Genomic DNA, 13,663 nt, shown 5'->3' on the forward strand with positions numbered 1-13,663 from the left:
CACATATTTTATGTTGAAATATATGAAATTGACATTTTTGTTGGTCAAAAATGGTCAAATGTCTGCAACTTGATTTTGGTGATTCACACAATATTCACCAAGCTACAAATTTTCAAATCACAGAACCAGATTATAATCCACTGAAAATAAATAACATAGGTTTATATGCTATTCTCCTTCTTTTTGATAAATGATAACCTTTCAACGATAGCACTTTCATGGGCAGAGAAATGCTTTGTGTGGAGTCACTGCCTAGGTTTAAACACTAGCCCAGCACTTACCAATAGTGCAGTCTTGGGCAAGTCTTAATTTCTCTAAGCCTCGGTTTCCTCATCTGCAAAATGGGGATAATACAGCACCTGCTTCATGTGGTCATTGTACAAATTAAATGAAGTATATTAAGTGCTTAGCCCCATGCTTAGGCATACAGTGAGTGCTCAACAAATTAAATTCTTCAATTCAATCAACAAAAATAGATTAAGGACCTATATCTCTGAAAATACTTATCCTCATTGAACTTACATTCTTGTGGGCATTATTGTTTTATCAAAATTATTTGATGGCTATTTAAAATTTTTTCATACACGAAAAATATCTGCCAATCGCTGTGTAGAGGTAGAGTTAAACTCAAATAAATACCACAGAAATTCTTCTGAGGCTCACATGCTTACATGCTCTGGAAGAGAAGAAAGGGAAGAAAATGTGGAGATACATCATAATTACCACTGTTTTCCTATTCCTGCAATTGTGCTGCTGACTACATGCCAAGCGAGACTAAAGGGATCCATGACCCATAAAAGGAATCCCCAGTACTACTTTCTGGGTATGAGTCTAGCCTCGGATATGAAGAGCTGGTCATGGATCTTCACTCCCAACCTTGTGTCACAAGTAGAATGAATGAGCTCATTCATTCATTCCACAAATACTTACTTCACATTTACTATGCCCTTGTCACTGTCCTAAAGATACAGCAATGAAAGGAGACTGTCTTCTTTCCTCAAGAAACTTACCGTATGATTGGAGAAAATATGAAATGAATAAGCAATTATGGTAACCGGTAATAAGTGGGGTGAGACGGTTCTCTATGGGTCTCTCACAACTCTGCATGTCTTGCAAGCAGAAGCATTAACTGCCCTTTTGCTCAGACTATCTTTTCAGAAATGTTTGTATAGCCAACAGCCTGGGAAGACAGAAATAGGATTTCCCTCTAGAAGAAAAGGCAAGTTTGTTTACTGTTCAGTATGATAAAGATAATGTCTTTCCCTGGGGTAAGTGTTTGCTTGCAACCCAATAAGAAAGATTCAGGTTCTCTAAGCTCGGGATTCCTTTCCTGTAATACAACCACAACATGTGCAAGTATCACCTGGCCCTTATTATCTCAATCTATGGAGACTGAGCTCAGGAAATCAGGGCAGGAAAGCAGTGATACTTTGTCTACTGTTATTTCTAGTAATCCTTCCCTTGTCTCTGACCCAAGAGCCTTGTGTCCTCTGCCAGAATGTGAGAGACTATGGCAGGCCAACATTTTGGAGTAATCTTCCCAGAAAGTAGGGATAGAGAAGCTAAATCCTGAAAGTTTGGTACAGTTCACATAATAAAGGGGAAGAAAAGTTGCCTCAGATGGAAAGGATAGTTTTATAACAAGACTGGGTATGGTAGGCCCATTCAGGGAACTGTGAGACATTCAAGACTGAAGTATAAAATACAAGCATAACTTATATTAGATATAAGTATAAAATATAAGCATAACTTATATTATATATAAGTATAAAATATAAGCATGAACTACTGCACCCAGCTTTTTTTTTTTAAATCGAACCTTCCACCAAGTAGCTGGGATTATGGGTGTGGCTATAGTGCTTATATGAGGCTACAGAGGTTGGTAGATCATGGGAGCCTTGTGTGCCAGGCTAAGGAGGTTATATGTTATTCTAAGGGCAAGAGAGACTCTTCAAAGGGTTTAAAGTAGGGAGGTAATATATCAGATTTATTCTTCAAAAAAATCAAAATAGCTATCTCTTGGAGAATGGATTGGAGAGAGGCAAAGCTGGAGGATGAGATGCTATATGAAGCCATAAAAATAATCTAGGCAAGACATGTTGAGGACATGAACTCTAAAAATAGCAGTGGGAATGGAGGGAAGTAGATCTGTGAGATAATAAGAATTTTTTTATTTTTAGATGGGTTCTCACTTTGCTACCCAGGCTGGAGTGCAGTGGCACCATTTCAGCTCACTGCAACCTAGATTGCCTGGTCTCAATTGACCCTCTCACCTTAGGCTCCAGAGTAGCCAGGGACCATAGGCATATGTCACCACCTCCAACAAATTACTTTTTATTATTTGTAGAGATGCTCTCTCGCTATGTTGCCCAAGCTGGTCTTGAACTCCTGGCAGCAAGCGGTCCTCCTGCCTTGACCTCCCAAAGTGCTAGGATTACAGGCATGAACTACTATGCCTGGCTGATAATAAGGAATTGTAAGAATGAATTGATTGATAGTTGGTAGGTTGGTTGGATTGGAGGTGGTTGGTTGGATTAGGAGCAGTTGTGGGGACTGGTTAGATGTCAAAGATGAGAGTCAATAATGAACCTCAGTTTTCTAACTTAAGCAACAAAGTAGATGATGGGACCATTCTCTGAGAGAGGAACACAAGAGTAAGGGTGGTTGGGGATGATTTAGATCTGTACATCTTGAGTTTGAAATGTCTTTGGCTCTCTAAGTGGTAATATCAGGTAAAGGGAAAGGTATGGGTGTCGATCTCAGGAAACAGAACTGGGCTGAGATTTAGGCTTAGGAATCTTTAACATATAGATGTCAATTGAAGCAATGGCCATAAATAAGAGTAGCCAGGGAAAATATACAGAATGAAAAGATAATAGTGTAGAGGATGGCACTTTGGAGAGAAGGCCTTAAAGATGAACTCAATAAGGAGTAAGACATTGGCAAGAAGGATGAGACCATCCCTCCCCCAGCCATCACATGTCCAACAACTGGGATGAAAGAGAAGGGTGCCACAAGCTCTTGGCAAGAAACCAACCCCAACATCCATAGCCTGATGACCACCACTGCATTTGAGACAGAAGGACCAATCTCATTATGTCCTTTCTCCTTTTCTCCCTTTGCTCTTGTCACTCTCCACAAGAAGCCCAGAGTGCCCAGGTGACTCCCCACCTTTTAAACTTCCATCCCAATAAATGCCACCTCATCAGCGAGGCCTTCCCTTACCGCCCTTAAAATTCCAGTTTCTCCTATATGTTCCTATCCCCCTTTTTTATTTTTTGTATAGTGTTTATTACTGTCTAACATGCTATAGTGTCTACCTTTTTTAATTTGGCGATTGTCTGTCTCTTTCTGCTAGGATGAAAACCCTATGAGAGCAGAGGGATTTTTTTTTAATTGTATTCACTACTCTTGCCCCAGGACTTAGTATATAGTGCCTGGCCCATAGCTCATTCTCAATTACTATTTTCTGAATGAATGAATGAATGAATGAATCTGAAGGGTATGGTATTTCATTTTGTTAGAAATAATACATGGTGTTTTTTATTTATGTTCCCTTTAGCAAAGACAGCTTCCAGTTCTAGCACAGAAGAGAAAGAAATAGAATTTTCCAGAAAATCTCAAAGATAGCCTCCTTCAGAAGGGTTGGTGAGTGGTTCCATTGTCTGGGGTAGTTATTGCAAATCAGATAGTTTGCGTTCTTAAGGTTTATGAAAAAAAAAACACCTATTAAACCGAGGGATCCCTAGCTATCATATTCCATGGAAGAAAGAGAAAACTGTGGTTTGACTTCCATAGAACTAAAGTATATCAGAACAAATCTGGTTCAATATTTCTAGAGCTGGCTGACACCAAGAAAGTGGTGACTTGCAAGAGTTTTACCAACACAAAACTGCAGCCATAATCAAACACAACCATAATCTTTTGGCAATTCCTAAGTCTTTCCTATATAGAAGTGCTGAGAAGTGGCTGTAGAGAGGACTGAAAGGGGAGCGCTACCATCTTGGAAGTCAAAGCTATGGAATCCTCAACCTCCTTTAGCCCTTCCTTCTGAAGGACTGACCTCATTCTCCTTGGAAGAACTAAAGCACATTCTTTATAGCCCCAGTCTCTGACAAACATTCCATGGGGCTGCTAGAAGCAATAGCAGTAATGGATTAAGCAGACACCAGGTCTCCCCCAACTTAGGCTTTGTAAGCCTTCAGAATAGTTGGATAATATAAAGTTAGCAGCTTCAAGAAAAAGATAATGGATTTCCGGTTAATTAAGCATGAGGCAGTTTTATCTTAAAAAGGGAGATTTGTGGCTGTATTTCTATTATGAATTTGTAAAAAGAAAATTATGCCAGTATACCAGTTTTTCCAGACACTAAAGGAAGAAACAACTTTATGAAGAAGAGAGTAGTCACCAATATCTGCTGCAAAGAAAAAAGCTTAAAGTCTTAGAAGTATTTAGTAGATTAAACCACAAGAGATCACTTATAACCTTGTTCCACATTCACAGGGAGATTGTGGGGACAGAAGCCAGATGAAAATGAGTTGAAGAAAAATTGGGAGGTGAGAAAGTGAAAATGGATGTGCATTCTTTCCAAAAAGAATTCTAGTAAAGCAGAAGAGAGATATCTAAGCTGCTAGCTGGGAAGAAAAATGGAATCCAGAAAGGTTTGCTGAAGAGGTAAAAGATTTGCTCATGTTAAAATACAGATGGAAGAATGCAGTAGAGAGGAAGAGTGTAACAGATACTGTTTACATTTTATTTTATTGACAAGCAGCATTCATCCCCAATCCTTCCACGTTTTCCTCTGTCTCAGGGGCTGGAGGCCTGGAAACTACAACTCTCAGAGTCCCTTAGAAGGTGTCCATTTAGAGTTCACCAATGAGAGGCCCTGGCACAAAATTGAAAAGGCAGAAGACAAGTAGAAGTCATTATTGCCTCTGTGGGAACAAAGAATGGCAAAGGACTGGCATAAAGTTTGTCAGACCTCCAGGCATCTTCCTGTGAATCATCCACTTGGGTGATTCAACTACTGAGATCATTGGTGGCACTTTTCTGTGATTTCTGGATAAACTGTTTTTCTGAAAGCTAGTAATGGCTTTTCTGGCCTTTGCCCCCCTCCCACACCCAACCCTTCCAACACTTTTGTGAGCCTCCAAGTCCCTGTATTATATCTCTCCCTGCTTGAAATACCTAGAGTGGTTTCTGTTTTCCTGGCCAAATCCTTATGGATCCAAGGAGACTGAGGAAGCAAGAGAGAGCAGGGCATTTTATGGAATGAGGACATTGAGATAATGGAAGGGGATGAGATTCAGAATTTGAGTGAAGGGGTGGGCCTTAAAGAGGGGGAGGAGTACTTCTTTATCTCAGAAAAGCGAAGAAGGCAAGCACGAGTACAAATAGAGCAAAATGAAACAGAAGCACAGGATATCCAAAAGTTCTGTTCTCTCTCAGAGGTAAGAATAACAATTGCTAACATTTATGGATCCCATCACATACATCAAACAGTGCTAAGGACTTCAAATGTATTAGTTCATTTAATGTTTACCATGATGTAATAAACATAATTATTATCACCTCCATATTACAAAGGAGGGAGGCAAAGTACAAAGACATTGAGTGCAGAGTGAGAATTGAGTTTAGGCAGTCCATCTCTAGACATATATCTGTGCATGTGTGTATGTGTGTGTGTGTGGGTATGTGTGCATAAAATCAATTGCACAGGCTTGGATTAATATTATGCTTGGTTCTTTTTTTTTTAATAAGGAAAAAACACCTATCAACCACTATCCAATGCATGAACTTGAATACTGACAAGCTACATCTACCTGTGTGTTTCCCCAGTTCTGTTCCCACGCCTCTTCCCATCTGAAATAATCATTATACTGAATCTTGTCTTCATCATACCTTTACTTTTTAAAATATATCTTATGTCATGTATGTACGTTCCTAAAATTGTAAGTTTAATTTTTTTTTTTTTCTTTTGAGATGGAGTCTCACTCTGTCACCAGGGCTGGAGTGCAGTGGCACAATCTCAGCTCACTGCAACCTCTGCCTCCCAGGTTCAAGCGATTCTCCTGCCTCAGCCTCCTGAGTAGCTGGGATTACAGGTGTCTGCCACTACACCCAGCTAATTTTTTGTATTTTTAGTAGAGACGGGGTTTCACCATGTTGGCCAGGCTGGTCTTGAACTCCTGACCTCGTGATTCGCCCGCCTTGGCTTCCCAAAGTGCAGGGACTACAGGCATGAGCCAACGCGCTTGGCCTGTATATTTAATTTTTAATTTTTCTTAACTTTAATAAAAAGGTGACATGCTAAACGTAATCTTCTGAGACAATTTTTTACTTCATACTTTATTGAACATGAGGCCATGAGGTCGTTTTTTGTTTTTGTTTTTGTTTTTGTTTTTGTTTCTTGAGACAGTCTTGCTTTGTCACCCAGGCTGCAGTGCAGTGGAGCAATCAGCTCACTGCAACCTCTGCCTCCTGGGTTCAAGCGATTCTCCTGCCTCAGCCTCCTGAGTAGCTAGGATTACAGGCACATGCCACCATGCTCAGCTAATTTTTGTATTTTTAGTAGAGACGGGGTTTCACCATGTTGGTCAGGCTGTTCTCGAACTCCTGACCTCATGATCTGCCTGCCGCAGCCTCCCAAAGTGCTGAGATTACAGGTGTGAGCTACCGCGCCCGGCCGAGGTCATGTTTCTCATCTGCACTTCTTAATTCTTCCATATTATTACTGATACTTTTGTCTACTTGATCTATCAATTACTAAGAAAGGAGTGTTAAAATATCCCTAGTATGATTGTAGATTTGTCATTTTCTCCTTGTAGTTACTTTTGATTTTGTGCATTTTGAGGGTATGTTGCTAGGCGAATACACCTTTAGAATGTTTATATTTTTCCCACACATTGAGCCGTTTCTTGTTATGCAGTAACTTTCATTATTTCTCATAGTGTTTTTTGCCTTCAGGTCTAAAATTATTAATATTGCAACCGCAGCTTTCCTGTGGCCTGCTATATCATTTCCTATCCATTTATCTCCAATCTTTCTGTATCCTGATGCTTCAAGTTTATCTCTTTTAAATAGCATGTGACTGTATTTTTTTAAACCCAGTCTGACAGTCTTTATATTTCAACTGGAACATTTACCACTTAATTTTCTGCAATGACAGCTATATTTGGGTTTTCTTCTACCAATTTATTTTGTACTCTGTATTTGCCTCACATTTTGTGTTTAGTTTTTCCTTCTTTCTTGCCTTCCTCTGAATTGAATGAATTTTCTTTCTTTCTTTCTTTCTTTTTTTTTAAAGACGAAGTCCTGCTCTATTGCCTAGGCTGAGGTGCAGTGGTGCAGTCTTGGCTCACTGCAACCTCTGCCTCCCGGGTTCAAGCGATTCTCCTGTCTCAGCCTCCCGAGTAGCTGGGATTATAGGTGCATGCCACTATGCCTGGCTAATTTTTTATATTTTAGTAGAGATGGAGTTTCACCATGTTGCCCAGGCTGGTCTCAAACTCCTGAGCTCAGGCAATTCACCAGCCTCGGCCTCCCAAAGTGCTAGGATTACAGATGTGAGCCACTGCGCCCAGCTAATTTTTTTCTTTATTCTCCTTTCTCTTCTACTGATTTAGAAGTTACAATCACTATTTCTATTATTTTAAAGATTTCCATATAAATTACAGAATTCCCATTTAAGTTGTCTTTATCTCAAATTAATCACATAGAGTTATGCTCCCCATAATGACATTTTGGTCAATGGTAGGATGCATATATGAAAGTGGTCCCATAAGATTTTAATGCAGCTGAAAATGTCCTATCATCTAGTGATGTCATAGCCATCCTAATGTCACAGTGCAACTCATTATTCATGAATTTGTAATGATGCTAATATAAACAAACCTACTGTGCCGCCAGTTGTATAAAAGTATAACACATACAATTATATACAGTACATAATACTTGATCATGTTAATTAATGACTTTTCCTGGTTTATTTATTTGCTATGCTATGTTTTTATCATTATTTTAAAGTGTACTTGTGTACTTACAAAAAAAAAGTTTACTGTGAAACAGTATTCTGGCAGCAGCTTCGTACATTTCATGTTTACCATGTCTCTTGATTGTATTATTTTATCTCGTGCTTGATTTAATCTTTTTTTTTTCATTATGGCCCCTAATTGTACAAAAGCCATGGTTTATGTTGCTGGTAAGAGGCCACATCAAGTTATTGACTTTGAAACAAAATTAAAAGTGATGAAGAACTATGAAGGTGGAAAATCAGTGATGGTTACTGCTCACCAGTCAGGCATGGCCCATTCCACCACAGCTCACCAGTCAGGCATGGCCCATTCCACCACAGCTACAATCTTGAAGAACATGAACAAAGTCACAGGAGCTATTAAAGGATCTGCTTCATTGAAGGCAATGAGACTAACAAAAAATTGAGACAGGCCTACATCAGATATGGAGAAACTTCTAATGACTTGCATTGAGGAGCAGATACAGAAGCATATTCCTGTCAGCACCATGACAATAGCAGTCAAAGAAAAAGTTTTCTTGGGATGTTGAAAGAATAAGCTGGACCTGACTATAGTGTTGCATTTACTACCAGCTCTGGGTGGTTTAAACATTTCAAGAATCATTATTCATTACATAGTATGAACATGAGTGGTGCGTCTGTGAGTGCTGATGTGAAGGCAGCTGAAGAATTCTTGGAAATTCTAGATAAGCTGAATGTGGAGCAAAATCACTTGCCAGAGCAAGTCTCCAGTACAAATGAAATCTCCATATTCCAGAAACAGATGCCCGGAAAGACTTTACCCATAAGAAGGCCACATCGATGCAGGTTTCAAGGCTTTTAAAGACAGAAGTCTTGCCTGGGGGCAATGCTGCAGGCTACAGACTGAAACCCTTTGTGATCTGGCACAGTGGAAACTCCAGGGCCTTCAAGCATATGAACAAGTGCATGTGGCCAATGTACTACAGGAACAATAAGAAGTTGTAGATAATCTAGCTCCCCTTCCAAGAAGCCCTCCTGAATTGCTATGCCAGAGAGATGGAGAAGTACTATTTGGAGAATTACATCCCCTTCAAGATTTTGCTTATTGTTGATGATGCTCCTGCACATCCTCCTTTTATGTGTGATCTTCATCAAAGCAGTGTTTCTCCCTCCAAATATCACCTCTTTGATTCAACCAATGGATCAAGGAGTTATAGCCACTTTTAAGGTCTACTATCTGAGGAGGACCTTTGCCTGCACTATTGCTGCAGCAGAGAAAGACACTGAGAAGACACAGATGCAACTCTGAAAGAATTACAACATCTACGACCAGAACCTTGCATCAGGAACCTTGCTTGGGTTTGGGGTGATGTCACCAAGGAATGTGTGAATGGTATCTGGAAGAAGACACTCAAGAGGACTGCCCATGATTAAAAAGGATTTGCCAAGGATGAGGAGGTTGTAAAAACAACCAGGCTGTGGTTGAGATGACAAAGAACTTTAACCTGGATGTGAATAAGGATGACATTGAGGAGCTCCTAGAGGTGGCTCTTAAGGAGCTGACTAATGAGGAGTTGTTGGAACTGCAACAGAAATGCATAGCTGGAGAAGAGGCCAGAGAAAAAGAAACTGATGCAGTTCTCAGAATGTATTCCCACTATTAAGCAACTCATGACTATTTATTCTCTTCTTATACAGTGCAAAATTCTTAGGCCGGGCAGGCATGGTAATTCACACTTGTAATCCCAGCACTCTGGGAAGACGAGGCAGGAGGATTGCTTGAGCCCAGGAGTTTGAGACCAGCCTAGGCAACATAGGGAGGCCCCCATCTCTACAAAATTTTTTAATAAAATTATCCAGACATGGTAGTGCATGCCTGTGGTCCCAGCTACTTGGAAGGGTGAGGTGAAAGGATCACTTGAGCCCAGGAGTTTGAGGCTGCAGTGAGCCATGATCACACCACTGCACTCCAGCATGGGTAACAAAATGGGAATCTGTCTCAAAAAAAAAAAACTTAAAACACTTTAATCCAATCACCCACTTCCCAGTGCCCCTGCTTTTGTTGTGTGATGTAGTTAATTCTGTCTTAGCTTATCACCATAAAGGTTTTATACAATTTATGTTGGTTTTAGATTTACATGTATATTTACAACTTTCTTACTAATCAGTCTGTCTTTCATCTAAGAATCTTCCATCTGGGAATATCTTTATTATGCCACAAGTACATCCTTTTAGAATTTTTTGTTGTTGTTGTTGTTTGGTTTTTGGGTTTTTTTTTTGTTTTGTTTTTTGTTTTTTTTGAGATGGAGTCTTGCTCTGTCGCCCAGGCTGGAGTGCAGTGGCGCGATCTCAGCTCACTGCAAGTTCCACCTCCCGGGTTCACACCATTCTCACACCTCAGCCTCCTGAGTAGCTGGGATTACAGGCACCTGCCACCACGCCCAGCTAATTTTGTTTTTATATTTTTTTTAGTAGAGACGGGATTTCACTGTGTTAGCCAAGTTGGTCTCAATCACCCACCTCGGCCTCCCAAAGTGCTGGGATTAGAGGTGTGAGCCACCGTGCCCGGCCTAGAATTCTTATAATAAGAGTCTCTTGGTAGCAAATTTCTTCTGTTTTTATTATTCCTAAACATGTCTTTATTTCACTTAAACTATTAAAAGATTTTCTGCTGGGTAATTCTAAGTTGACAGTTACTTTCTCTGTACATTAACAAACTTCCACTGTCTTCTGACTTTCATCATTGCTATCCAGAAGTCAGTTCTGTTACAATTGCCATTCTTTTGTAGATAGTCTATTGTTCTCTGGCTGCTTTTAAGACACTCTCTTTCTTCAGGTGTTCCAGAATTTGACTATGACGTTTCCAGGTGGTGTATTTCTTTTCCTTCACCCTGATTGGGATGGATTGGATCCCTAAATATGAAGCCTGATGTTTTTCATCAGTCCTGGAAAATACTTGGCCATTATTTCCTCAAACATTCCCTTTCCCTCATATCTCACTTCTCTTCTTCTACAATACCAAATATGAAACCATCTCAGTCTATCTTATGTGTCTCCTAACCTTTCTTAAATATTTTTATTGTTTTGTCTCTTTGTGCTTCATTCTGAATACTTTCTTCAGACCTATTTTTCAGTTCATTGATTCTCTTTTCACTATGTCTAATCCACTGTTAAATCCATCTATTGATTTTTTTTCCCGCTTTATCTAGTACCAACTTTCAAGGCATGCAGTTTTTCTTCCTGTTCCCTGCTAGGAGGGGTGGACAGCTTTATTTTTAGTTTACCTCAACACGCTCAACCTGTGCAGGACTTTGGGTTCCCAGCACTATCTCAGGTCTCTCCTTACACTTCCCACTTTGAATGGAATCCAGTTTTTCCCCCACTTTCTCCAGTCCCTAAAAGACCATGAAAATAAAAACTCAACTTAGCTGGGGCTTCAGCAAGTAGCCTCAAATGGAAAGTGTCTTTAGTAATTTGATTACCTCTTTGGATTTTTTCCTTCCTACCAGCTCATTAGTACATCTTAGGATTTTTTAAATTCTGAATTTGAGGATTTCACTGGCAGGTAATTCAGGAAATCTTATCTACCATTCTTTCAGAAATAGAAAACAGGTTTGTTTTAAATTGGGAATAAGACTAGATACCAACTCTAGCACGCATTCCAAGTTTTTTGTGAACAGTTGAAGCAGATGTTGGGTATACATGATGTATAAAAGCAAGTTGCAAATAAATGTATATAATATAACCCAATATTTGTAGAAATAAATATAAAAAACATTTAAATATATTTGTATAAGTAGAAGAGCATAAACAAAGATGTAAAGAGTTGCATATGCAACTATGTATTTGGTCACTTCAGAATATCTAAGAAAGGCAAGATAGATGGTGGGAGAAAATAAGGGGAAAAAACTATTTAAGAGGGAAAATATACAACTTAATAAAATGTGCAATAAAATATTCTTCCAAATTTGTAAACGTTAATAAGTCTATGGCAAAGACTAAAATGTAACAGAAAAAATGCATTGATGGTTTAGGTGTTACCTTGCTCAGCAATAAAGAAATTGGCCCAATGATCCTCCACCGGTCCCTTAAATTGCCACTCAGGTAGCTCTGGATGATAATGTACCTATAGCACTCTCTTCTCTTTCCCAGATCAGTCCTGAACCACTTCTGCTGCATCATTCTATATTCCACATTCAGACCACTCACAGTACCCACCTTGGACTGCTCACAACCTTGGAATTATTTCCTCTCTGTATGACTTGGCCTTCAGTCTTAATCCCAAAGCTCAATTTAATGAACTTCACTATGGCTCAGACTCTCCATCTGGACAGAATGCCTCTAGTTTATGAATAGAGACAACTAATATTAGTTGAGCACTTTCTATATTTCAGATATTAAGTGGGTGGTTTTTATGCATTATTTTGCCTTCATGATAACCCTGAGAGAAGTTTAAACACTGAGAGAAAGTATCCTAGGGAGATCTGATTAGTGAGGGAAGTCGCCTTGAGGAGATGGGGATGACGCCAATCACTGAAGAATAGGTAGGAGTTAAACTGGTGACCACATAGCCAAGGAATTGAATCTCGGAAACTCAGCATGTAATGATTCAATACTAACTTCTTTAAGTGGCAAAGTAAATTATATAGATTTTTTGAAAATGAGGTTACAGATTTGTCCTTATGGAAAAACCAATATTGTCTCATTGAGCTCGAGTGTCTGGACAAATGGTCCTGTCAGTGTTCCCTCTGAAAGGATCCAGGGCACATCTTCCCTAAGGGGATGATAGGATCAATTCTGTTTTTTAATTATCACTCCTTTTGTGGTTGCTTTTATGTTGTGTGTAATTTGGTTGCTTAGATGACAGGTTGAACAAAATAAACACTTAGCAGAAAGAATATTTCCTGGGAATCTTAAAAGATACAAGAAAATGGGGAAAAATAGAACCTCAGTCGCCTGATGGTGAGAAGTTACAAAAAGGGTCAGGTGTTTTGATGGAAGTCATTGTAGAAAAAAAATGAAAGACGTTGAAGCTTGAAGATACTAAAACTTAATACTTTATCATCTATATTTTCCAACTGAATGACAGGGGTTAGGACATGCTGTCCCAAAATATGGCACTTTGGCATATAAAATGTTTTAAGCTGAAGGAATTTGAGAAACAGCAGGTGAAGGAAAGATTTTCTGACCCTCCCCTAATGCAGGCTATAAAACCCTCACATGAGAAGTACCCTCCTTATGCCCAGAGAAAAGGAACATCTTTGTCTCCAAAGACACAGGGACACGGAGATGATGAACAGGCCTTGCTAAGTTTCCTCCACTCTATTACCCTTAGCTTGTACCTTTATCCAACCACATTCTTCCATGACTCTCCAGTCTTCATCAAACCTGGCATAAAAACACTCAGACTTAACCACTTCTTTGGGTCTTCATTTCCTTATGAAGGCTCCAGTGTCATATAAAACTTCCATTAAATAAATGTATGTATGCTTTTCTTTTGTTAATCTGTCTTTTGTTACAGGGTCCCCAGCCAAAAACTCAGTAGGGTCAAAGCAAACAGTATGTTTCCTTCCCATGTCTAATGAGGTAGTCACTGGCTACATAATGGCTATTTACATTTAAACTAAATAAAGATTAAATTTCTCAGTCTCGCTAGCCATATTTCAAGGG

General features: G+C 39.3%; 1 protein-coding gene across 1 annotated transcript in view; it reads right to left on the reverse strand.

Annotated features, from left to right (window-relative positions):
* C12orf42 (chromosome 12 open reading frame 42) overlaps nt 1-13,663 on the reverse strand; it is a 516,167-nt gene that overhangs the window by 485,995 nt on the left and 16,509 nt on the right. The gene's annotated exons all lie outside the window — the stretch shown is intronic.

This window comes from Homo sapiens, chromosome 12, assembly GCF_000001405.40.
Source record: "Homo sapiens chromosome 12, GRCh38.p14 Primary Assembly".
Classification (NCBI taxonomy): Eukaryota; Metazoa; Chordata; class Mammalia; order Primates; family Hominidae; genus Homo; species Homo sapiens.